At 37.1% G+C, this 27,561-nt stretch overlaps 1 protein-coding gene across 9 annotated transcripts in view, besides 5 other annotated features; it reads right to left on the minus strand.

The window, feature by feature from the left end:
- TFB1M (transcription factor B1, mitochondrial) overlaps window positions 1-9,422 on the minus strand; it is an 84,614-nt gene extending 75,192 nt beyond the window's left edge. For 8 of the 9 annotated variants that reach the window (NR_146725.2, XR_007059269.1, XM_047418852.1 and 5 more), the window contains exons 1-2: window positions 9,234-9,422; window positions 6,126-6,277 (exon numbers count right to left, since the gene is read on the minus strand). Coding sequence is in view for 6 of the 9 variants with exons in the window: in XM_047418852.1 (XP_047274808.1) it covers window positions 6,126-6,277; window positions 9,234-9,366 (285 nt within the window). In the remaining 3 variants the exon portion in view is untranslated. Of the gene's footprint in view, window positions 1-6,125; window positions 6,278-9,054 lie in introns of all 9 variants that reach the window. The other variant, NM_001350502.2, reaches the window with a different exon arrangement.
- Window positions 9,197-9,516: an enhancer, noted in NCBI's record as "active region_25305". NCBI's record gives its function as "activates an Ori minimal core promoter by ATAC-STARR-seq in GM12878 lymphoblastoid cells {active_cell/tissue: GM12878}" and the evidence as "EXISTENCE:reporter gene assay evidence [ECO:0000049][PMID:35858748]".
- Window positions 9,515-10,505: an enhancer, noted in NCBI's record as "NANOG-H3K27ac-H3K4me1 hESC enhancer chr6:155635711-155636701 (GRCh37/hg19 assembly coordinates)". NCBI's record gives its function as "activates a minimal SCP1, AML or CMV promoter by ChIP-STARR-seq in naive H9 embryonic stem cells {active_cell/tissue: H9 hESC(naive)}" and the evidence as "EXISTENCE:reporter gene assay evidence [ECO:0000049][PMID:30033119]".
- Window positions 9,587-9,636: an enhancer, noted in NCBI's record as "active region_25306". NCBI's record gives its function as "activates an Ori minimal core promoter by ATAC-STARR-seq in GM12878 lymphoblastoid cells {active_cell/tissue: GM12878}" and the evidence as "EXISTENCE:reporter gene assay evidence [ECO:0000049][PMID:35858748]".
- Window positions 9,687-9,766: a silencer, noted in NCBI's record as "silent region_17703". NCBI's record gives its function as "represses an Ori minimal core promoter by ATAC-STARR-seq in GM12878 lymphoblastoid cells {active_cell/tissue: GM12878}" and the evidence as "EXISTENCE:reporter gene assay evidence [ECO:0000049][PMID:35858748]".
- Window positions 10,187-10,236: an enhancer, noted in NCBI's record as "active region_25307". NCBI's record gives its function as "activates an Ori minimal core promoter by ATAC-STARR-seq in GM12878 lymphoblastoid cells {active_cell/tissue: GM12878}" and the evidence as "EXISTENCE:reporter gene assay evidence [ECO:0000049][PMID:35858748]".

A 27,561-nucleotide genomic window follows, 5' to 3' on the forward strand; every position in this document is an offset into this window, starting at 1 on the left:
AATGTAAAAGCTAAAATTATAAAATAATTTTATATTATTTATATATTATATATTTATATATATACATAATTATATATTTATATATATAAATATATATTAAATTATATATTTATATATATATTAAATTATATATTTATATATATATTAAATTATATATTTATATATATATATTAAATTATATATTTATATATATATTAAATTATATATTTATATATATATATTAAATTATATATTTATATATATAAACATATATTAAATTATATATTTATATATATAAATATATATTAAATTGTATATTTATATATATAAATATATATTAAATTGTATATTTATATATATAAATATATTATTAAATTATATATTTATATATATAAATATATATTAAATTATATATTTATATATATAAATATATATTAAATTATATATATAAATATATATTAAATTATATATTTATATATATATTAAATTATATATTTATATATATAAATATATATTAAATTATATATTTATATATATATTAAATTATATATTTATATATAAATATATATATATTAAATTATATATTTATATATATAAATATATATTAAATTATATATTTATATATATAAATATATATTAAATTATATATTTATATATAAATATATATTAAATTATATATTTATATATATATTAAATTATATATTTATATATATAAATATATATTAAATTATATATAAATAAAACAAATTTTTAGTGATCTTGGTTTGGCAAATATTTTAAAAATAAGACATAAAAAGCATAAAGTCTAGAAGAAAAAACTGATAAATTGCACTTCATAAACATGAAACTTCTGTTCTTCAAAGACATTGTTAAGAAAATAAAAAGGTAAGCCACAGCTGAGAAAACATTTGTAAAATCTGTATCTGACAAAGCCTCACATCTGAACCATATAAATATCTCTTAAAATTCAATAAGACAAAAAAAGTAAAAGTACTAAAAATATTTGAACAAATAATTCCCCAAAGAAGATACAAAGATGGCAAATAAGCACATCGTATGTCCAGTATTATTATCTATTAGGGAAATGCAAATAAAAACCACAAGAGGATACCATTACATATTCACTAGGATGGCTAAAATTAAAAAGACTGACCATACCAAGTCTGAGCAAGCATGTGGAGCAATGGGAGCTCTGAAATACAGCTGGTGGGAATGTAATATGGCACAGTCATCTTATAAAACAATTTGGTATTTCTGTAAAAAGTATAATATACGTCTACCACAGGACCCGGATATTCTACACAGGACCCGGATATTCTACTCCTAGGTCTTTACTCAAGAGAAATGGAAGTGTGTATCCACACAAACACTTGCATATGAATGTTCATAAAAGCTTTATTACAGTATAAGAGCCAAAAAAGGGAAAAACCCAAAGTCTATCAACAGGTGAATAGATTCACAAATTTGGTATATTCAGAAAATGGAATGCTATTCAGCAATAAAAAGGAGCAAACTACTGATAAACACCTCAACATGGATGAACTGCAAAATAATTATGCTAAGTAAAAGATACCAGACCAAAAAAAAAGTACATATTGTATGATTCCATTTATATAAAATTCTGAAAAATAAAAAATAATCTACAGTGACAGCAGATTAGTGGTTGTCTGAGATAGATAAAGGGGGAAGGAAGGGACAGATTACAAAGAAACATGAGGAATCCTGAGGACGATGAGTGTTTATTTTCTTGATTGTGATAATGGTTTCATGCAATCACATATATGTCAAAACTCAGTTAACTGGACGCGGTGGCTCTTGCCTGTAATCCCAGCATCTTGGGAGACTGAGGTGGGCAGATTGCTTAAGCCCGGGAGTTTGAGACCACCATGTAGAAATGGTGAAATCCCATTTCTACAAAAAAATACAAAACTCAGCCAGGCATGGTGGTGTGCACCTGTAGTTCCACCTACTCAAGAGGCTGAAGTGGGAGGATTGCTTGAGCCCAGGAGGTCAAGGCTGCAGTGAGCTGTTGAGTTGTGCTTGTGTCACTGCACTCCAGCCTGGGTGACAGAGTGAGACCATGTCTCAAACACATACACACACACACACACACACACACACACACATATACACACAGACAAATCCTCAGTAATTTGTACACTTTAAGTATGTGCAGTTTACTGAGCATCAACTGTATCTCAACAAAGCTGTAAAACAAAGTGTATTAGCTCGTTTTCATGCTGCTGCTCATAAAGACATTCCCGAGACTGGGCAATTTACAAAAGAGGTTTAGACTCACAGTTCCACATGGCTGGGGGAGGCCTCACAATCATGACGGAAGGCAAGTAGGAGCAAGTCACATCCTACGTGGATGGCAACAGGCAAAGAGAGAGCTTGTGCAGGTAAACTCCCATTTTTAAAACCATCAGATCTTGTGAGACCCATCCACTATCATGAGAACAGCACAGGAAAGACCCACCCCCATGATTCAATCATCTCCCACTGAGTCCCTCCCACAACACATGGGAATTACGGGAGCTACAAGAGGAGATTTGGGTGAGGACACAGAGCCAAACCATATCACAAAGTATTTACTGTGATAAACTCTCCATAAATATTAGCTATTATTATTTTTAATATATGAAGCCTTTAAAACAGTGCTGTGCAATTGCAATCTTTTGGCTTCCCTCGGCCACACTGGAAGAAGAACTGTCCTGGGCCACACATAAAATACACTAACGATAGCAGATGAGCTTAAAAAAAATGCAAAACAAATTTCATAATGTTTTAAGAAAGTTTAAGAATTTGTGTTGGGCCGCAGGCAGCCCGTGGGCCGTGTGTTGCACAGGTTTGCTCTAAAATAAACAGAAAAAAAAAAAAAATGAGAGGAAATCTGTACTACTTCTCTGAAAGGGTACGAGTGATTTACGAATTTATCTCCAGTTCACAAATGGAGAAGAACCTATCAAAGCTTCAAATTCCCTGAGATGTCAGGAAATCTAAGTTATTTCCAGTTCAGAAAGAGGAAAAACCTATCAAGGCCTCAAGCTCCTTGAGATTCAGGAAATCTCCTCACTCCTCTCCACAGCACAGAGAATCCAGTCAGTCATAAAAATGTAACAAGAAACAACGAAAAACTTAAAAACCTAGAAATGCACAATCAGAATGTGACAACATCAAGAAAAGAAACCCTAGGTGTCCAATGCAAGTTTGATGAGTTGGAAAACACCCCAATGTTTCCATAGCACTGGAGAATTTTCTAGTGCTCCAATGGAATAACACGACTTCCTCCTATACCTCTTTCCAGATCAGCAGTCTCCTGATCAGTCATTAATCACCAGAGGTAATCAAGGCATGGGGATAATAATTTAACTGATTACTTATAACTAAGATATTATTCAGTGCTTTCTAAGTATCAGGCATACACTGAATCCTCATATGAGTCCTAAGAGCAAACTGAGGCACAGAGGACAAAATTACCTACCCAAAGTCACCCAACTAGTAGTAGAATCTGAAGTTAAACCCAGGCAGTCTGATGCTGAAGTCTGCGTCTTTACCACAAAACTATACTATACTAAACATACTAGACATGTTTTTCTTACCTTTATAACATGCTGAGCATGAATCCTGTATGTTAGCACCAGTTTTTCTTTCCCCTAAACTGCCTCATGAAAATACTGTAGGAATTGAATTAAGCTACAAATGACAGGCTTTCAGCTAGAAGGTATTTTATAAATTATTACAATTTCTTTAAAAAGTAATTCTATTAGCTTAGAAATCACTAAAATGGTATCCTTAAAATAGATCACCTTCTTTCTGCTTTTACTCAGTTTTATGATTAATTTAGTACCTCTAAAACAAAGTAGTTTTACATATTGAAACATTCCTCACTGGGGAAAAAAAGGCCTATTTGATATTTTAGTACCCAACATTTCTTTTTAAGGCAAATTCCTTTCCTGCATATAAGATACTAAGAATTAATTTTGTTTCTACTAAAAACAAATGAGAAGTCAAATATACATTTCCTCTAGAGTAATTTAACTTGAAATCAGCCTTCACATTTAGAAAAAAGAGCATAAAACTTTTTCATTATCAATGCTACACAAATATTTACTTTCACTATTTAATGATACATTTAATTAATATGAGAGATACATATACATTTGTGTATATATATACACAGATGCAGAAATAGTGGTCAACTTTTTTGTTTCTCATGTGAGACATTTACTGAACACCTGCTATGTGCTAGGCACTGTTACGTGAGATAGAGGTACAGCAGGGAACAAAACAGACACACATTTCTACCCTCATGGTACTTACATTCCAGACAGGTGAGTCAATTAACAAACAAATGGGAAGAACATATATACAGTATGTCAGATGATGATAAATCGAATGAGATAAAACAAGGCTGGAATTAGGAACGCAGTGACTTATGGGTTTGGGGGAAACTGAGAAGAGAAGGGTGGCAGTCGCTCTTTTCAACAATCTGCCTTCAAAGATCTTTTGTTCATATCAAAGAGGGGAATATGTGGGAATGAATGGAAATCTGGTTCACCCCCTGGCCTAATAAGAAAGAATAAACCCAACGAATGGTGAGATATGAGGGACAAGAAGTCTTTTTAAGAGCAAAAAAGTCAGGTGAGTATTCCCTATGTCCAAAAAGGGCTACACGAATAAGCCCGAAGGGGATTATACAGTTATTTAGTTTCTTTTTATAATCTCATGATCTCACCAAAAATAATAATATTCCCACGTCCACCTCCAACTTATATATAATTCTTAAAATAAGAACACAGTTCAAAACAAAAATCACTATTAAATTCCACATTTGATCAAGGAATATGTGCCATGTGACTATCTCAACATAAAGTTTAGTATCTGAAACCAATTCTGTTAGTATAGACTGGTAAAACTAGATAAAAGGAAATATTATGTAATTTTTTAAAGCATAAAAACTAGATAAAGCAAGATTAGGGAAAAACTGCTAGGTTTCTTAAAAAAATCAGATACATGCACACAAAGTTCTAGGTTTTCAAAAACAACTTCTCAAACCGTTCTGACAGAAATTAACATTTTTCCATTAATATATATACAAGTTAGTATGAGAATATACTCGTTTAAAATCAATTTGTCCTTTTGTATGGAAGTAATAACGTAGATAACTACATTATTCTATTATAGTCACATGATAAATTGCTTCTCATCTGAGCCAAAGGTTCAGGACTCTTTTAAAATTTTAGAATTATGGAGGAATCAAAGGCCTTTAAGACATTAAGTGTTCCCCTATGAGGAAATCCCTTTACAAGATCCCTGATACAATCTATTTCACTGTTTGCCAGCGTTTTAAAAAAAGTAAGTTCCTCCTTATTTCAAATCCTCAATCCTGCCTCCCTCAATTTCCATCTATTTGTTTTAGCTCTTTCTTAGAAAAGATCAAAACAAGCTTATCCTATGTACCCCCAACCTTGGATGTGCTGCTATATACACTCTTACCCAGGGCCTCTTTTCTCCAGTTGAAACATGCCCAGTTCCTTCAACTCTCATTTCTTATACAATAACAGTGCCTGTATTTTAAAGATGCATGTATCATTTCATTTAAACCTCATCCTAAATCTATAAAAGTACAACTTCCTTCCTTCACTTAAAAAATTTACCTTATAAAAGAATGCTTAAGCTTCATAATTAGTCTCTCATGATGACAAACGTGCATATGTCTTACTCATCTTTTGTTTGTGGAAATGCTTTTTGAACCTAAATGAAGTTCTCAAAAGTCATACCAATGAGTCATTACTGGCCATTATTTATTTTTATTTATTTTTGAAGGAATGGGCCACGACATGCATAGCTATTAGCAGACTTAAAAAAAAAAATCACACAAAACAATTAATTTGTTTAGCATAAATGCTTAAAGCAGGTTTTTTTCAAGGTGTAGTCAATAGACCCTCTGAGAGTGCTTGTTAAAAATGGAGATTTCCAGATTTCTCCAGACTATGGAATCAAAATCTCTGGAATGGGGCCTTGGGGATCTATAGTTGAGGAAAAACCTACATAATCTTTGGATACCTTGGGGTTTAAGCATCATGGCATAAAGATTTAAATTCAGCTTTTGCCTCCTAAAGCAGACACTTTAAGCATCTCACCTGTAATCCAGGAATAAATCGAGTGTCCTTTTCAACCACCAGAAGTTCAGCGACGTCGGCATTAAGAATAGATCTTGTGATTCCCCCTGGCCCAGGGCCCACTTCGTAAACATAAGCATTTGTCAGATTGCCAGCTTTCCTTACAATCTTATCTAGAGGAAAAAGAGTTTTAGTTATCTCAATTAACTTGGCAAATTTCAACGTATGAAATTTAGAGAGAAAAATCTTCTATAAAAATTCAGCCATTACCCAATCAATTGATCCTTTATGTATAATATTTATTTGACTATTTAACTCTCTACCTAAATTAACATGAAGTGGCAATCGAATATGCTACCACATCACCATTGAACTGTACCAGTCCCTTAACACACACAGGATTATCATGACAAAGTTTCTTAGCTTAAATTTAGCTAATATTGTAGTTTCCATCTGTCCCATGCAAATTCCTTTCAAACTGATTTGAAACCAACCGACTCCTAAGAACAGACTGGATAAGAATGCAGCACTTTTCTATAGTTATTGAACATTGAATATCTGAATAAGCAATACTAGTTTCACATTCAGAATCTTCAGTATTGCTAGTGAAATCCAAAAGCAAAAAGTGCTGAAGTCTTATTTTTATCTAGAGACATCTTGGTGGTGGTCACTATGGCAATGGCAATAAGTTCTTAGATCGTAAGATTTTCAGAAATTTGAATTCTTAGTCATTTTCAGGAAAAAGTTAAATTGAGCAGTTGAGGGTTTTTAAAGCTTTGCACACATGCATGTTAATACAGAAAAATTAATTTTTTAATTAATCAAATTCAAGTTAGCAGCCCTTAAGACATCATAAAAAGGTAGAGTACTGACTCTGTGCAACCAGTCATCACATCTGGAAAAACATGCAATGGGCTGGTCTTAGTGATTCTGAGATATGGAAATCCAAGGAACTGGTCTTCCTAGGATAGTGGAAATTTAGTCACTAAAAACATACCAGCACTTCTTGTAGGTGTTCACAGTCCTATTTTTGCTTGTTTTCAACAACATAACTTTGTCAGCTAAAATGCGGAAACTAGTTTCTCAGCCATCCAAAAATGGTTTAGTCTTTTAACAGGGAGGGAATTAGCATCCACTGACCATCTTATCTATTATGATGGATTTACACACATTCTCACCTAATCCTTACATGTTAACCAAGGACTCCTATCCCAATTTCATTTCTCTTAACTTTTCAGTTTCCTTGTCTATTGTTTTATTTGTACAAGGTCATGGACTTCAACATAGGTATAAATCCTAAAGCCAATGCCTCTCAGAGGGAACAGGAATGATACATTATGGAATAAATTTAATACTCTCCTTCTTTAAAATGGAGAGCTACAACAGTAGGCAGGTCTCTGCTCTCAAACTTTTCAGGCACATTGAAATACAAATGAATATTAAAGAAGCGCTATCAAATCAATGAGCTTGGATTTCAATCTTGCTCTCTTCTGCCTGAGCTTCTAACCTCAGCTAAGTACCCTCATCTCCGTTAACTCTGGTTCCCATAGAAAGAGTGGATAATATCTAGAATTTGAAACTTACTCCTGAAGATAAAGGCTCATGAGAAAATGTATTTGAAGGATTTTAAAAAATACACAGACCTATAACTTCTGCCCTGAGAATGGTGATTTATATTTAGAATGTGGCTAATAACAAGCAGAAAAGGCTGGTACTAGCTATTACTAGAACCAAAGAATTTTAGAGTGGGCAATCTTTTAAAGTAGTAGGCCCTTCTTCCAATTAAAAGATGAGGAAACTACTGGACATGGTGGCTCACACCTGTAATCCCAACACTTTGGAAGGCCGAGGCGAGTGGATCACTTGAGATCAGGAGTTTGAGACCAGCCTGAGCAACATAGTGAAACCCTGTCTTTACTAAAAACACAAAATTAGCTAGGCACGGTGGCTCACGCCTGTAATCCTAGCTACCTGGGAGGCTGAGGCACGAGAATCACTTGAACCGGGGAGGCGGAGGTTGCAGTGAGCTGAGATCATGCCATTGCACTCCAGCTTGGGCAACAAGAGTGAAACTCCATCTTAAAAAAAGAAAAAAAAAAAAAAGAGAAAACTTGAGTTAAATTATTTTATCCAAAGTCATATTGGTACAGGCAGAATAAAGACTACATGTCCAAGAAATAAAACATTTTATGTTTTCTGGAGTGTGCTTCATTTAAGTGAAAATGAACTTTTTGGGTGTGATTTACTGCTCTTTTCAACTTCTGAAGTGGGACTAAATAGAATGAAATATGAAAATCTCAAAACCTAAGTACTCCAGCCGTGACTTAGTAGACGTATTTGTAATATATTTTTGCAACCTCATCTCATAGAACATCACTAAGCAATGGTGATGGTGGTTAAACCAATATATAAATACATTCGTCAAAACTCATCAAATTGAGCACTTCAAACTTATTAATTTTATTGCACATAAATTATATCTCATAAAAAGTAACTTTAAACAATTAGGTGTGGGAATGTAAACTTGCTAAAAGTAAGCTCCTCGAGGAAACACCGCCTTGTTCACGCCCATATCCTACCCCCGGCACTAGCACAATGTTGCTTGTGTAATATGTACTTATGAATGAATATTAGCGCCCCCGAGGCTTAGACTGAACAGGTAAACGTTTAAAAAACGAATCATACGAGGGATACTCTTTTCACCAAGTTATTGATAAAATCCTCGCATCAATTTAAATTCTGGTAACTTTAAACTGCATGTAAAGCAACTGCAGTCAGCATGTGCTGTACTATTTCAGAATGATTGATTTCACAGTGACCCAGATTCCAATATTCACTAGCGCCTTTCACGACCCATGAACCCTTCCTCCCCTAGGGAGCTTGGCATTTATGCAGCCTGCCGGCAGGCTACACCCCCCCGAACGCGGAGTTTTGTGAGCAATCAACGCACTTCACGTGTCTCCTGGGCGGTGGGACCGGAGTTCTGATACAAAGAGGTCGAAGGACCTGACCAAAAGCCCGTCGCACGCCAGTGCCTGGACACCCGCCCGCGGGGACGTGCAAGACCCCCCGGCCCACGCCCCCACGGACACTGGGGAGACATCCGGGGAGCACTGCTAAGCCATCCACCTGTCAGCCTCAAGTCCAGGAGGAAATTCTGTGATAGCTGCTTCGCTGCTTGCAGTCTTAACAACTTAATGATTTCTCGAATCGTGGGCAACGGAGGGAGACGGCAAGTGCTGAGTTTTCCGGAGGCAGCCATGATACGCGGCAAGCACCATCCAACCCTACCTCACCCAGGACCTTCACCGCCGCTCCGAAAGAAACGCGCAGGGGAGGAACCTGCGAGACCTAAGGCCCGCCTCGGAGTCAGCCCCATTGGTCAGACCTATCCCACCGGAAGCGATGACCGCGGACAGGAAATTCCCGGCGTGCTGAGAGCGCATGCGCTAAGTCCTGCCGCGAGAAGGGCAGGCTGGGTGGTCGGCGGCTTCCGCCTGTGAGAGCCGGGGGAGAGCCGGGTGGACTAGGCTTCTCCTGGGCGGGCTATGGGGAGAGCGCCCAGGAGGGCGGGACGAGGCGGGGCCTGGACAGGGTGGGGTTTTTCGGAGGAGTTGCTCTGAGAGGTGCAGCCGGTTTACTCCCGCCCTGAAGTTCCCAAGGGCTTCCGGCTCTTTAACGTTCTAAATACCTGTCTGTGAATATTAGAGGAAAAGCGGGTGCTTAGAGGCAAAGCTACTGTTTGTTAGCAATTCTTTCTTACTGTGAGGCGTTTTTAGAACCGCCGCTCTGCAGATGCTGCATGATGGGTTTTTAACTTCGTTCAGCCTCAGTTTTTTCATCAGTTAAATGGAGCTAATGTCTACCTCAAAATTGTGAGCACTAAATGAGAGAGATCGCCTGGTGTGCACGTTCAGAACATAGTGCACGCATGGCATTGGGTAAGCTCCCACGTGATCAGTGGTGGCTGTTATTATTTGGCAGATGAATAATTGGCCAGTGTAAAGAGGTCATTCGATTTGCTAGGATTACAGCTAAGAACAGAGAGAAGACTGAAATATGAGTTCTGTCTTTCCGTTATACGAGATAAAAACAACGAAGCAAAAAAAAAAAAAAATTAAAGTTTCTCTGATAGGTGGGAGAATTTTGCTGTTTTAACCCTGCTTATGTTTGGACATTGCTGCGTTGATCACAAATGAATTTTAAAGTTTCTGTTCCTCAATTAGTAAGTTTTTAAAAAAGCTAATGGAAAACGAAACAACTATGGGTATGGATATAAAAATGAGGAGTACTTTGAAATTCCAGTGGAAAACTCAACCACCTTCTATAAAAGCTGTTTTAAAAGGAACTGAGATAATCTCCTAGCTTTAAAAAATAGTGATGACTACCATAGAGGTAAGGAGATTTGCCCAACGTGGCATCAAAATGTAGACTGGAAGTACAAACTCTTGATTCAGATATCTTATCGTCCAAAACACAGTATACCTGACAAAGCATTATTTCACAGTTATATTCATTATTTCCCGTACTCCTCACAATGGTCCCATGTGAATGAGATTATTATTCTTAGTTTGCTGTGAAGAAATAGGGGAGGTGAGGTCATTTGACAATGCCCAGAGTCAGACAGCAAAGTACAGAGAGAAGACAACCTGAGTTGTGTTTTTTCTGAGTTCTGATCTCACTGGCCACACTCAAGTATCAGCTTATTATTTTTAAGTTAATATGTGTTAATTTTGTAACATCTAAATATATAGAAATACGAATCTAGGTGTAAACATAAGCTTACAGTTTTCATATGACTATTTAAAACAATTGCAATAAATATATACAAAACCAATACAAATGGTCTTATTAATTGACAAGGATGAACACTGTTAAATCACGACACTTAGTGCTAACTGGCAGGTTTTCTTTTTTTTTTTTTTTTAAGTTTCAGCCTACCAGTGATCCAGTGTGCCATGTAATGACTGAATGTTCTCATTAGTTTTCTGGAGTCAAACTATTACCAAATCTTTGTTCAATTTTTTTTCCATTGTCGCTTGTCTTTCTTTTGGAAGAATATGGAAGCTACATATTAAGTCTGCCTGCATCTGTTTTCAGTAGCTTGGAAACAAGTGAATTTGAATTATTTGGCACTAATGCTACCATGAACACACACGTTGTGTAACAGGTATAAAGAGGATGTTCAGATGACCCCAAATATAATCACATGAGCTTTTTAAAAGATTAACATCAACATAAAAACAAACTAAAATCTAAATGAGTGAAACACCTTTGCGTGGAGAATTTGTAGATTCCTGATAATTTGTCCCCAGATCTAAATATGAATTTATGGATGGTTTATACCATGCCATCTTCAATAACTGAACCTATTTATAAAGCAGCTTCCTTTGTTACTTAATTCTCATTTCAATTCTGTGATGTAGGTTCACAAAGATGTGTCTTAGTTCATTCCTGCTGCTATAACAAAATATCTGAGACTGGGTAATTTATAAAGAACAGAAATGTACTTCTCACAGTACTGGAGGCTGAAAGTCCAAGATCAAGGAGCTGGCAAGTTTGTTGCCTTGTGAAGGCTGCTCTCTTTACCTCAAGATAGCATCTTGTTGCTGCATCCCCCAGAAAAGAGGAATGTCATGTCCTCACATGTCCAAAGGCAGAAGGGCAAAAAGGGATTAGCTAATTCCCTCCAGCTCTTCATAAGGTTGCTAATCCCATTTATGAGAGCTCTACCTCAATCAATTAATCACCCACTTAGGGCCTCCCTGTCAATATACTATCACATTGGTGATTTAGTTTCAGCACATGAATTTTGGGGGACATTCAGACCATAGCACAGTGCTTTGCTAGTAAGTGGTGTAACTGAGTTTAGATCTTCTGACTGCACTGTGCTTTTTATTAACCTCTGATACGTGTTAAATAATTTTTTAACTGAGTTAAAAATTCTAGCTTAGGAGAATCTTCCAAGTTTTTAATAGTTCTTGAGATCCAATTTTTATCATAAATATCTAATCCTCAGTTTTTAATTTTCAGAAAATTATGCATAACTCCCTGCAAAAGCCTAAGAAATCAGCAGGGGGTGTTTTAGTAGTGTATTTCACATATTAATGCAAATGGTTTTATCCCTTAAAAGAGAGGTATGCAGTTTCATCAGTTTTGAAGCTTTGAAGTGTCTGCTTCATCTAGATACAGATTTTAATATGCTAAAATATTATAATTAATACAGAAATCACTAGCCCCACCTGTCAGTGAAGATGAAGAACTACAAATGATTCATGCTAAACTATATTGTAGTATTCTAATTTGCGTAAAATCCCAAAATGATTATGTAGGAAAATTACTTATTATTTTAGTATTTACTTTAATAAAAATGCATATGTGACTTTATTTGGTATAAGTGATTTAGTCTCTATTTATAGAAAAAGTGCTAATTTTAAAAGGTTGTCATTTTACCGTTCCCTGAAAGAGACTTGAAAGCTGCAGAGAGCAATATCTTCCTGCCATGTGGGAATTTTCAGAGAAAATTAAATGTGGCTTGGAATTGCCAAATTGAACTTTATAAAATGACTATTATGGTATGTAAAGTGCCCTTTTCCGATAGTATTTTATAATTACATATAATATGATTCAATGCTCCAGAGAAATACTAAGAGCTGCATTTCACACATATTTAGGGTTTTTTTTGTTTTAATGGCTCTTTGATGCACACTGTTCATTCACAAAGGAATCTAGTGACCTACCTAGAGGGAAGAAGGAAAAACGTGATAACTCTGAGCAGACGGACCAAATGCTTATTCTGTGGGGATAGAAGTAGGGCAACTTATGGCAACAACACGAGCTAATTGCCTGAGGGAACCATGGAACACTTACACTATTTTTGAAAATACAGCGTTTATCCCTGTTTCAAGCAGTATTTGAAAGCCTGCTCATTGTCCCCAAAGGTCTGTGAATTATTGCCAAGTATCCTAATAAGATGTTGAGGATGGGCAACTCGTTCGACTCAGGGAGCTATGGGTAGGGCTTTTTCCTATACAGTAAGCAAACCTTTTTGTGAATGAAGAAAATATGCTAACAGCATTATAAACGAATTAGCCTTTATTATATAGGCAAACCTTTGAGATACTATGGGTTCAGTATCAGACCACCAAAATAAAGTGAATATCTCCATAAAGTGAGACAGATGAAGTTTTTGGTTTCCCAGTGCATATGAAAGGTATGCATACATTCTATTGTTGTCTATTAAGTGTGCAATAGCATTATGGCTACAAAAAATATGTACATACCTTAATTTAAAATACCTTATAGCTAAAAAAATGCTAACGGTCATCTGAGCCTTTAGTGAATGTTAACCTTTTTGCTGGTAGAGGGTCTTGCCTTGACTTGATGGTTGCTAACTGATCAGGGTGGTGTTTCTTAAAATAAGACCGTGAAGTTTGCTGCATCTTTTAACTCTTTTTGTGAAAGATTTCTCTGTAGCAGAGAATGCATTTTACCCATGGTAGAACTTCTTTCAAAATTGGAATGAGTCCTTTCAAATTCTGCCACTGCTTTATCGACTAAGTTTATGTAATATTCTAACTCTTTTGTTGGCATTTCAACAGTGTTCACAGTATCTTCACCAGGAGTAGATTCCATCTCAGGAAACCACTTTCTTTGTTAATTCCTAAGAAGCAACTCCTCATTTATTCAAGTTTTAACATGAGATTGCAGAAATTCAGTCATATCTTTAGGCTTCACTTCTAATTCCATTTCTCTTGCTACTTCTACAATATCTGCCATTACTTCCTCTACTGAAGTCTTAAACCCCTCAAAGTCATCCATGAGGGTTAGAAACCACTTCTTTCAAACTTCTGTTAATGTTGATATTTTGGCCTCCTCCATGAATCATGAATGTTCTTAATGTCATCTAGAATGGTGACTCCTTTGTAGAAGGTTTTCAATTTACTTTGCCCAGATCCATCAAAGGAATTACAATCTAGGGCAGCTATACCATTACAAAATGTGTTTCTTACCTAATAAGACTTGAAAGTAAAAATTACTCTTTGATTCATGGGCTGCAGAATGGATGTTATGTTAGCAAGCATGAAAACAATATTAATCTCCTTGTGTATCTCCATCAGAGCTCTTGGGTGGCCAGGTGAGTTGTCAGTGAACAGTAGTATTTTAAAGAATCTAAAGAATCTTTTTTTTTTTTTCCTGAGCAGTAGGTCTCAACAATGACTTAAAATATTCAGTAACCATGCTATAAACAGATGTACAGTCATCCAGGTTTTGTTGTTTCATTTCTAGAGCACAAGTAGAGTAGATTTAGCATAATTCTTACTTGCCCTAGAATTTTTAATAAGATAAATAAGCATTGGTTTCAACTTAAAGTCAACAGCTTCATTAGCCCCTAATAAGTGTTAGCCTGTTGTTTGTGGCTTTGAAGTCAGGCATCAAATTGTCTTCTCTAGCTATGAAAGTCCTAAATGGCATGTTCTTCCAATATAAGGCTGTTTTGTCTACATTGAAAATCTATTATTTAATATCACCACATTCATCAATGATCTCTTCATCCCCTCAACACCTGTATCCCATACCGTCATCGATTCCCAAAATCCTATCTCCACAACAGATCTCACACTTGACCTCTCCAGTTCTGCTGCCAGCATCTTTCACTTTCATTCCTGCAACAGCTTTCAGTCTTGTTCTACAATACATTTATATTCAGCAGCAAAATGATCTTTAAAAGTGGAAATTGGATCACTTCACTTATCTGCATACAGCCCTTCGGGGGCCTCCCATTGCATTTAAAATAAAAATCTAATCGCTCGCTATGGACTAAAAAACCTATGTCCAACCTCATATATATCCACCTTCCTGGAGATAAGCTGTGGCCATGCTGGTCCTCTTTCAGTTCCTCAAACATGCCAAGTGCTTGCTTCCTCTCTTTTCTTGCATATGCAGTTTTTCTCTGCCTGGGATGATCACCTCCCACTCTTCAGCTGGCTATCGCCTTTTCTTTCTCTGTCTCAACTTCAAGGTGACCTCTTCAGCTAGAGCTTTTCTTGACAAATTCTAACAAGGGAAGAACCTAATTTGACCTTTGACAAGCTCTCCTTAAGAGTTTGCTCTTCTATTGCTTCCTTCAATTTTTTTATTATTATTTTTTTTTTACCATAGTCTTAAGTGTCACATCAACACATTTCCTCCAAAGGTTCCATCTTGGTAGAACAGGTTCAGGTTCAGAGTACAGAACTGCTCCTCTTTTTCTCTATCAATGTCTTTGCTAACTGACCTACCAAAAGGTGACAGTCAATGTCTAACAATCAGAAAAAATGCCAGAGGTCACAGAGCTGGAGTTAGATCTAGATCCTCAGGCCAAGCATTAACTCTTTGGTTGGTGGTTTATGAGGACTTCTAGGAAGTCTTAAGGGAGAATCCAGTGTGGCTCAGGCACCAGTGGTGGGTATTTTGGGGAGCCTGGGAGTATCTATTTTTGGCAGTTGTGGCTGTGTCCTAATTCAGTATTGTAACAAGTATAATATGGCCATTCTGGTACATTCAGACTAAGTATCAGTCAGTCCTGTTTCTACTCAAGGGTCTCACTACCTGTTCTGTGACTCTTCATCTCAGTCTTGTTTGCCCCCTTTGGTACAACTACCCTTTATTTTCGTTATTATTTTTGTTGCTTATTTGTTTTTCTGTATATATGTCTGTCTTCCCTACTAAAATGTAGGATCCATGAAAACAGGGCAGTATCTATTTGTTCACTAAAGTGAACCAATTGTTCACCTAGAAAAAATGCTGATACACAATGGATATTTAATACATATTTGCTAAATAAATGAATGAAAATGACTTCCTCTGATTAGTTAGGCTACATTTTATTTTCTATAAGAATATGCAACTCCAAAATTTATAGCTGTTTTCAAACTTTTAAAAGTCCTAGGTAGATCTTTTTGTAGACTGTCTTATATTTCTTCCCAAGAACCCCTAACATGAAGCCATCACAGTAGCCTTTCCAAGAAGTTTATGTTTCTAAGTCAGATCTCTTTCTCCACCTCATGCTCCTCTTTAGCTTAAAATTTTTCCTGGTTCCTTTTTTTCCACTTACAGGGAGAATGTTCAGATCTCTTACTATGCCACTCAAGGTCTGACACGATCTGGGTCTAAATTCCTTTCTAGTTGCATTTCTGTCACACCTTCCTTTATTTCCTTAGTATATCCTGAGACCTGCTACTCCAAAAGAATGCCTCTGCAACTTTATCCGCTTTGTGGGGCAAAATCCTATTCATTTTTCTGGGCCCAACACAAGTGTGACTCCTTGTGAGAAACTTTTTGATATTTATTGACCACCTTCTTGTCACGCTGTCCACTCTGGTCCTGATCCCTTCCACTCTGAGGTCCTGTTGTGCTGCATTCATAAACCCAGCAGAATCCATGTTGCATTTTGCAATATAGTAACTTGCATCATCATATACTGCATTGTAATATAATATAATTTCAGGGCCTCCTTTGTCAGACTCTCAGCTCTTCAAAGAAAACAGCGTATTTTATTCATCTTTGTGTATGCAGCACTAGCAGGGTGCCTGGCACACAAGGGGCACCAAGATATGTTTCCTGACCAGACCTAAACCATGGAGATTGTTGCCAGTTTTAGACACAAACTGTACAGCAAACTGTATTGAATAGAGCAGGGGTGCTGGAGTTAAGAAAACTTGGGTAAAAATCCAGGCTCCATCCTCCTTTTACTTATGTGACCTTGGGCAAGCTACCTAATCTTTTTGGAACTTAGTTTTTGTGGTAAGCAGAAAAATGGCCCCCAAAGATGTTCACATTCTAATCTCTGGAAAATGTGAATATGTGAGGTTACATGGCAAAAGGGAATTTAGGTTGCAGATGGAGTGTAGGTTGCCAGTCAGCTAACTTTAAGACAGGGAAATGATCCTGGATTATGCGGGTGAGCCCATTGCAATCACGAGTCCTTAAAAGTGGAAAAGAGAATTGGAAGAGAGAGCCAGAGAGATGACAGTGTGTGAAGGACTTGGCCTGATGTTGCTGGCTTTGCAGATGGAGGAAGAAGGTGGAAGAGGTTCAAGAGGCAAGAAGGTTGAGCATCCTCTGGAAGCTGGAAAAGGCAAAGAATTTGATTCTCCCCTAGAGCCTCCAGAAAGGAAGGCAGCCCTGCTGACATCTTGATTTGAGCTCAGTGAGAGCCATTTCAGACTTCTAAATGACTGAACTATAGGATAATACACTTGTGTTGTTTTGAGCCACTAAGTCTATGGTAATTTGTTACATCAGCGACAGAAAACCAATGTAGCTGCTTTGACTGTAACATGAGAATAGTAACAGATGCCTTATAGCATTACAAAATATGTATTATGTCTCATTATACTTCATAAGACAATGCATGTAATGGACCAAATATAGTGCCTAACACACTGAAGTTGTTTCATAAATTCATTAATTCTCTTCTCCTTCCCTCTTCCTGTGTGAACATGCTCATCTAGTAGACATAGATCTAGCTATATATAATCAACATACAAATTGTATGGTATTAAAATAAATGTTCTAATGGTATTGAAATGAAATAACCGTCAGGATATAGTTCCCTTATTGTTGTAACATATGACAAAGTAAGCTCGGAAGATTACTGCTCATTTATTATTCTGTAGCTTTCATAAAAGATGATTTTTCCTTCTGCAGATTTTTATTGAGCTTGGCTGTTGCATATTAACTCTTCATTCTTTTGCTTCATTATTTAGAGGCATTGACAATTTTAACACTGGAGAGTTATCTTCAGGACAGAATTACAAATGTTATACCTTAACACTAGTGCATCATTTGATCTTAACTGTTGTCCACTTTGAAACTATTCATTTTAGGCCTATTTGGCACCTTTCTTGTTCTTTTTGGGGATGGGAGTGAGGAAGGGTCAGTGGTTTCTAATTCAGCAGAAAGGTTTAGGTAACAATTATACCAAATCAAGTGGAGGTGCAAAATATAAAATCTTGAATTATCATAATAAAATGTTAAATTGTGTTGTGAAATTATATACATTATGTTGTGATGGAAATCCTGTAATTTTAGATTATCTTCAAAACCGTTTGCTTAAAAGTCTTATAAATGGTAGGGACTATGGGGAAGGAAAGAAGAGTGCTGGCTTAGGACTATAATAACTACAACAGTTCATTTATCTTGCATTATGTTTTATTATATCATGTCATAATATAATATAAACATCATACCCTATCATAGCATATCATATTATAATTTATATATTATTTACGAGTTAAATAGGCTTTTGTAGTTTCACCTAGGAATCCAATTATGGCTTAAACTGTTTTTAGTTTAAAGTTTAGTTTATTTTTAGTTTAAACTGTGTTTAAGTCATGATGGATTCCTAGGTGAAACTACAAAAGCATATTTTAATGACTTCCTATTTCTATAGGAAAAATGCCTACCAAATTCCAATGAATTTAGGAATGATTTGTTGCAGATTGCCAAACCAAGTTTTTGTAACTGTCCCTGTTATTCTTATTCTCTTGTGCTTCGATCTACAGCCAACGGTTTTTTTGGTTTTTTGTTTTTGAGACAGAGTCTCGCTTCTTCACCCAGTCTGGAGTGCAATGGTGTGATCTCAGCTCACTGCAATCTCTGCCTCCCAGGTTCAAGCAATTCTCCTGGCTCAGCCTCCCCAGTAGTTGGGATTACAGGCATGTGCCACCACGCCTAGCTAATTTTTGTGTTTTTAGTGGAGATAGGGTTTCACCCTGTTGGCCAAGCTGGTCTTGAAAACTCCTGACCTCAAGCGATCCACCCACCTCGGCCTCCCAAAGTGCTGGGATTACAGGCGTGAGCCACCATACCCGGCCCCAACCCTTTATTTCTCATATGTATTATTCAAACTTTTTAGACCATGACCCACAGTAAGAAATGCCTTTTACATTGTAACCCTATGTATACACCCACCCACCCACACATTTAAAAGTTTGATAAAACATTCTATATGTGTGAAGCAATCTTTTACAAACTATTTTCTAAACTATTTGCCTTTTAAAAAGTGATTGTTACAAAACTTATTATAATAATTATTACTGCCCAATAATGGGTTATGACCTGCTGTTTGTAAAACACTGTCTTACTTTCTTATTAGTGCCTAAGCCTAAAGAGTGTAACATGGTATACTGATCCATTATCTCTGTCAGTTTTCCTTCATTCGCTTGCCATGACTATCTTTGTAACTCAGATGACAGACTTTTTTTGTTTGCTTTTTAAGTTTGGGAACCACTAGCAGTGCAGGTCACTAACAAATGTGGTAGGCATGTAATTTAAATGTATATACTCTCAACTTAATTTATTGTAAAATGTAATGATTCGTGTCCTGTGAGAAAAGTTGTGTACTATTTTCCCACTCTCTTATATGCATTGGCTTTTTGGGAGTCTTGTGGTGTATGTCCTTTTCTTGTGTATTAAGTGGAACATAGAGCATTTTGCTTCTTTTTTTTTGTTACAGGAAAAAGGGCCTTCACTGTTAGAGGAAGCTTTGGGAAGAAATGGTCCTGGAAGCTTATATAATTTAGGAGGCTTTCTTTAAGAAAAGAATACCACATTATAAATGTAAAATTAAGTATCAAAACCATTTATTTGGACTAAGAAAAGGACTGACAAGAAATGACAGATACTTAATGACAAACAGCACAAAAAACAACATCCTGAAAAGTAATAGAATATTTTTTATTTTAAAAGTAAATGAATACATTTTATTTTATTTAGCCTAATATTTAATCGAATTTCCTACTTTCAGACTTCTTTGATAATTTTTCCCTTCCATTTCTGAAAGCAAATTCTTTAGTTTCATCTTCATATGATAATGTTTTAGGAATAACATTCCATAGAGAGAATAGAAAGATAATTTAGTCTTTCTTCTACCATGATGGATTACAGTTTGTTTTTTATTTTTGATAATTTAGAAACATTTCATATAGCTTTCACAACTCATAGTTGACAATGTCATGTAAATTGTTAGGACTGTTCTCAAATTTGGAAACCTCTATTAAGTTTTTGGCACATATGATCTGTTTGTTTTCAAGGCATTTCAAGCTTTCTAGTGCACTATCCTATGTTGAGTACTTTGAATTAATGACAGTCATTAACCAGTTTGTCATAGGTGTACTCATTGTGGTGATGTATTTTGAGTTTATATTTTATTCATTGATATCAATATTTGGTGTCAAAAAATTGGGGTATTTAATTTTTTCCAGTGTATTCACATGACTCACTTGTGTTTATTAATTGTGTTATCAAATAATCCATAAGCCTATCATTATTTTTACTCTATTCTTCTGACTGCATTTGATATGCTGAATGTTTTTGTTGCAATTTACTTCTTGATATTGAAATAATTTCTATTGATTTTATTGCTCACTCTGTTGCTTTTGTGTCTTACTCTATTACTTTTTTATTGACATTTTCTCTCAGTTCTTTAAATACTTGATTTAAAGATAGCAGAAAGAACACTCCATATTCTCCCAACAGGAGTCTGTAATTTTACATTTATTTTACTGAAATGTTCTGAAACATCTTGCCAAATTTCAGTTAAAATGTGTATTTCTAACTCAATTTCCCCTTTAGCTAGATTCCCAAAGTACTCTCCGTCACCAGAATACAACCTGAAAAGAGACAGTGGTCTTGACTGACTAGGGTTAAAATGTCTTGCCTTTGTAAATTTTACAAAAACATATACCATGTGAGTAGATTTCTAGAGCCCTTCCCAAGGCTTGAAAATGGCTTGTTCGAGTGATAGGCCCTGACATTTCAACTTCTCATGCTTCCTAGTTAATCTGCTTGTATACAGGGAGAAAGGCCAGACTGAACAACCTCTTGGGACACCATTATTAGAGACTAGATGTGTCATCAAGGCAAAACAGGGCTTCTCTACAATGCAGAGTCAGTTGTTTGTATTCCCTGAAAATCAGGCCCTGAGGCAAGGGTGTGGATGCAGGTTGTTTGTTTAATTGCCCCTCCTGGAGAGGTAATCCCAGGAAGCACAAGTGAGGAAGTCGGGAAAATGCCATGGGAAAAGGAGAAAGGCCAATTCCAGGGGTTAGGGAGTAGTTTCATGTTAGGGCTCCAGGGCAACTGGGGCTCAATCCCAGGGGATCTTTTGAAAAACCGTGTGCAGCCCAACTCAGCATTGTCCCACCAGAAGCTGGGGAGGCTCCAAAGCCCCCAGGCATGGAAGACAGCAGGGGAGGTGGGGAGCTGTCAGTTTGCCTGGATCACAGCTGCAGATGAACTCAGGAGGACCATACGGATCTGGGGTGGGGCAAAGCCAGGCAGCATCCGCTACCCTCTGTGAATCTTATTCACCTGAGTTTAGGAACTCAGAATTATTTAGAGTGATAAGGACTCTTCAATGTTGTGGATCTTTCTCATGCCATAAAGAGGATTTTGAAGTTAGTGGACAATGTGAAGTCATCCCTAACTTGCCAGAGGAAGTGTTCAAATCCAAGTACTGAAATTCTAGAATCAAGACATTTTGAACCAGAGATGAGTATTCTTTTTTTTTTTTTTTTTTGAGACGGAGTCTCCCTCTGTCGCCCAAGCTGGAGTGCAGTGGCGCGACCTCGGCTCACTGCAAGCTCCGCCTCCCGGGTTCACGCCATTCTCCTGCCTCAGCCTCCTGAGTAGCTGGGACTACAGGTGCCCGCCACCATGCCCGGCTAATTTTTTGTATTTTCAGTAGAGACGGGGTTTCACCATGTTATCCAGGATGGTCTCGATCTCCTGACCTCGTGATCCGCCTGCCTCGGCCTCCCAAAGTACTGGGATTACAGGCGTGAGCCACCAAGCCTGGCCAAGTATTCTCTTTAAACTGAAAGAAGGCATAGTTAGAATTTCTAATTGCCTTTAATTAAATCTATCACCTCCTAAGTATAAACAAAAGTGGTGAAATATTTTTGGATATACCAACAATGAACAGTTCATTAATGAGAATGAATTTTACCTTTCTGACGGTTCCCATTACATAACTTTATTCATTTTGAGGAAGGCAAGGGCTGACCATTTTATGCTCATCTACTATGGTCACCTATTAAAGGCTGGAATTATGATAATCCAAGGGGGAAAATAAAATATTTAAAATGAGATTGGTCTAAGTAGGAGAATGAACATCAGGCTAAGTGTTAATTTTGTCCCATTTAGTCAGCTCCATAAATCTTGAGAAGCCATTTTTCTTCTCTGTGCCTCAGTGTCCTCATCTGTATGTTAGAGGGCTTGGATTGGCTGATCCTGAAGGTCACCTCCAGTTCTGAGGTAGTCCTTGAAAACATGAGGACTGAAGCCTGGCCTAAGGCATGGGTCTTATTGTGGTATTGTGGACTTGACCAAATGTTAACCTTTCTGACCTTCAGTTTTCTCCTCAGAAAAATGAAGGGGCTGGGCTATTCTTTAAGGACACCTCTGTTCTGCAGTCCAGATAAATAAAAGTGTGAGGGGAAAAATCTGGAAAAATGCATAGAGTGAAGCTCAGCATGGCCACTGGGTGGCGATCTTGTTCCATGTTAAGAAAAATTTTATGGCATTTACCAAGAGTTTCAAAGTTTGACTTAGCATAGTGAAGAAAGACTTTCAAAAGGATAAAAAAACAGGGCAGCAAAAACCAGAATTATGGGGGAAGTGACAATAAACAGCAATGCCAAATAAGAGACATAAAATCCCTGTAGCCAAGGCAGTAAAACATAGAGGGGTATATGAGAGTTGTGTTTTGGGTATTATTTAAAGGAATATAGGGAGAGGAGTACATTGTAAATTCACATAGTTTTTGAAAAACATGACATAAAAGTTAACTCTAACATTTAAAAATTAAACTTGTAGAATTACCAAATACCTTAAGACTGTGCTAGAGTACTGAAGTCTAAACTTGAACAATCCAAACCAAATCAGTAAACATTTGTTATTTCTTTTGTTTAAATCTCAAAGGAACACTTAAGGGAATTGTAACACTGTTCCAATCTTTTGATATTAAATCAAGTGAGCCAATGAACAAGTTGTGAGCTTTTTTGCATTTTATGGGAGGAGGTGGTCTGTCTCACTTACCTTGAGAATCTTGGGATGATTGTTCCTGGGGCTAGCCATTGCCCCTGCATTGGGTTGAGGGCCATTTCTCGGGGAAGAGCCGAGCATTGGGAGGAATGCAGAGGATAAAGGTTCTCTGATCATAGTGCCGCCCACCTCTATCTCTAGAAAAGGTTATATTCAAAGAAAAACACAATTTTCCCACCAAAGCACCACTCGGCATGAAGGGAAGAACCCAGAGACTCGAAGAGGACCAGGTTCACACTCCTGAAGATGGCAGATTATGTCTCATGCAATAAGCCGAGATCTGACAGCCAGAGGATGACTAGGCCACAGTCTGCCATTTCCTGTTGTTGACTTTTCTGTTCACCATCCCCTCTGGTTTTCTCCCAGTTAGTCCTTATCCTCCTTTTGCTAGGTGGATACAGGTTTCTTCTGAGGGCCAAAGCCTGGGCCCTATTGCTCTGGTTGCCATGGCTGTTTCTTTTCTCTCCTTTCCTTTGATACATTAGCTATTAGCTTACGTAATCCTCTCACCGGTGGATGTTCCCATTCAAAAGGCAAAAAAAAAGTTATATTGCTAAGTAACCTTTAACAATGAATACCATTCATTATGTATTTGCTTAATGATACAAAGGCATTGTTTGCTCTATTGCAGGTGATAACAGCAGATCAAAGACCCCGAGGCCGCCGGAATGTGCTTGAGAAGAGCCAGCAGAGACTGTGTGGAAATTATGCTTAGCATTTATGTTGCACTTTATACTCTTAAAGGATTCTGCAATTATTAATTAATTATCCCACACAATAGCTCTATGAGGAAGGTCAGTGTCAGTAGCTTTATTTTACAGATGAAGAATCAGATAGCAGTTAAGCGATTCCCCCCTTCCCACCTCAACATTTAAAGATCTCATGTCAAAGCAGACCTGGGGTGGGGGCAGCAGGTAAGTTACAAAGTGACTGAAGAGTAAACAGACTAGGGCTGCCTCTTGCCCAGGCTCCACTTCCTTTGATCTGTCTTTTGAAAGCCCTCTGAACATAAGCTAGGTTCTGGACTTGCATACTGCCTCCCTGGGCAGCCTAGTTGCTCTTGCTGTGCTTGTCTTTTCTACATATCCACTGTTGTGTGTGTAATTTTAATTTCCTTTTCATTCATTCATTCATTCATTCATTCATTCAATGAAACTTATTTGGGCATTTATTGTAGTTGATTTGGTTAGGAATATAGAAATGAAAAACATGATTCTTGCCTTTGAGGAACTTCAATTTCTTAATAGGGACACACACAGACACACACTGCTGGAGGACATGGGATGAAAAAGGTGTTAATTCTTCTTGGCAGCATCACGAAGGTCTACACTGAGGAGATGGTGTTTGAGCCAATCTCTTGATAATGCCATGCTTGTGATCCAAGCAGCAGGATCCTGATGGTCCCTAAAGGAGAGATGATAGAAGGTATCCTGAATGTCGGCGACTTCACATTTGCGAAGGCCAAAGCCTGTTAGGTCAGGCCTCCTGTTGGCTAGTGTGATAGACTCTTATCCTATAGTGTTTTAATTATTTGTGTGAATGTTTTCCCTTTTTACGAGACTAGAAACAATTTTAAAATGAGGACAAATTCTGACGGCCCACAGCATATTGTAGGGAATAACAGCAGGAATAGCTACCATGTATCGAGTAAATGAGCCTATTCTGTTTAGTGCTTTACATAGCTGATTAAGCCTGCCAAAAACCTTTGAGGCAGTATTGTTCCCCCACACTGTTTTTTTTTTTTTTTGGGAAAGTTTAAGTAATTTGCTCATAGCTACATAGTTCTGTGTGCTATTGAACAAGCTTATAGTCCCCACATGTAGCTTATAGTCCACGGCAGAAGACAGACATTAACCAATAATAACCATATATCAATGTATAATTACAACCTGTAATAAAGTCTCTGAAGGAAAAAACAAAACATGCAGTATAGGAGAAGCTAGCACAGAATGACCAGATCTGCCCTTGGGCCAGTAGACGTGAGGAGAGATATGAAGGAAAGGCCAAGGTCAGGGAGCGCGTACCTGGAGGTTCTGATGGTGAGGCTGAGTAATGAAAGATACGTGGGTGTTAGGTAGTCCAAAGAGAAAGCATGTGCAAAGGCCCTGGTGTAGGAGGGAGCTGGGAGTATCTGAGAATCAGCAGGCAGGTCTGCTGTATAGAGGAGATGACTGGAGAAGGAGAGGTGGCACATCTTGTAAGATTGTGTAGGCTAGGATAGAGCTTGATGTTTAGAAATGATAGGCATTGCATTCGCAGGTTTTAAGGGAATGCATTCTTTGATGAGATGAATAGTCAATCTGGGTGCAGTGGGGAGAGCAAATGGGAGAGGAGTCAGAGTGTGAGAAGGGAAAGTGGTTAAGAGGGTATTATAGTAATTCTGGGGTGAAATAATGGTGAGGCCAGGGTGGCAATGGTACACAGGGTGAGAAACATGTGTGTGAGATATTTGCAAAGTCAAGGACAGGTCTTGGCGATGGGTGCGAAGAAGTGGGGTGGGGAGGGAAAGGAAGGTGTCAAGGCTGATTCCCAGGTTCCTGGCTTGGACAGGTGAATGGTTGGAGATATATATAGGATGTGGTTTTGTATGCTGGAGGGGGACCAGGAGTTTGAGAGGAAGGGTTCTTGAGTAGGTGGCAGAGGAATAATTTGAATCTAGGTCTGTTTTTCATCAAAATGTGCTTCTCATCAATTCCTGAAACATACACATATTTTTGGAAATCCACACTGAATGACTCTTCCATCTTGCTAGTTCTGATCAGCTTCTATTGTCACCACTGTGATCTTCCGGAAGAAATGCATTCACTTTTGTTGCATAATCAATAAGTGACATCGGTGGGAGAAATGTCCATCCGGACCGGAAGGTATGGGAGGTCCTTTTTGGGAGGTGATACCTGTAATTCCTCAAACCTTGCTATTCAGCAGTGAGAGTTACGCTGCCTACGTTGAGCTCTGGCTCAAACTGCTAGGGTTTGAATCTTGCCCCATGACTTGCTATCTCTGTGATGTGGGCATATTGTTTAACATTTCTAAGCCTCCCTTTCTGTAAAAAGGAGATAATAACAGTATCTTCTCCATCATGAAATTGGCTGAAAGATCAAGGCTGCTGCTAGCCCACAGGACACCTTTGTGTGAATTAGAGAAAGGCTCTCATTCCTCAAGTGAAAAAAGAACTTTTGAAGTTAGTATATTATATACTATCATTAATTACAATTATACAAACATAAAGTCATTCTGAATAAATACTGTACATCAAATGATTAAACAATGTAATATTCATTTTGAATTTTTAATTACAATTAGAAAATCAAATTTATAGATAACAAGTCAAAAATTTTAACAGCAGTTAATTATAAAATTTCCATAGCAACAAATAAACAAGTGCTCTAATATAATCAGCAGATTGTTACATAGTAATCTCTAATTTGTCAATTTAATACATACTTTGTATATTATTGATGCTAAATTATATTAGCTATTACCTAGTTATTTGTATCATAATGAAAATGCCTGTATACTTAAAATAGAACTCTGCTATCTTACTTGAGTACAGAAGACAAGTGCCAGAGTATATGAAGTATAAAGATTTGAAAAAAATTTAAGATACTAATCAGTTAGTACTTCAGTGAGAAAAAAATCTTATTTAGAAATGTAGGTTATTTTGAATGTTGTTAGATCATCAAGATCTTTTAATAATCAAATATATTCTTCCTTTGTAAGTCCAAGCAAAATGTAATATATATCAATCCTATTAAGTAAGACATTTTACTGCCACCTGTCAGTAAACTATCTTCATAAATATATAGCTCTGTCATCTTTAAAGTTAGCCAAGTTATGATAAAAATATGAACAGTCTTCAAAATGATAAAAAGGGCTATGATGTGACAGTCTTTTTAGTTGTGCTACTCTCATGCAATGTCCAACCTAAACCATTGTATGCATTGGTGCTGGGAAGGATTACAAGAGATAATTCTATAAAGTACTTTATATGCGTAAGGACTATTATACACTGAGTGATCACTGGATGTTAGTGTTTTATTTTTTATTATTAAACCTATGTTGTAATTGTGGTGTTTTAAAATGCCCTAGTTGAAGTCCTAGTTTCTTTTTTTCTTGGAGACAAAATTTCGCTCTTGTTGCCCCGACTGGAGTGCAATGGCACGATCTCAGCTCACCGCAACCTCTGCCTCCTAGGTTCAAATGATTCTCCTACCTTAGCCTCCTGAGTAGCTGGGATTACAGTCGCCTGCCACCACACCAGCTAATTTTTTGTATTTTTGGTAGAGACGGGGTTTCACTGTGTTGTCCAGGCTGGTCTCAAACTCCTGACCTCAGGTGATCTACCTGCCTCGGCCTCCCAAAGTGC

This window comes from Homo sapiens, chromosome 6 (genome assembly GCF_000001405.40).
Source record: "Homo sapiens chromosome 6, GRCh38.p14 Primary Assembly".
In the NCBI taxonomy this organism is placed as follows: Eukaryota; Metazoa; Chordata; class Mammalia; order Primates; family Hominidae; genus Homo; species Homo sapiens.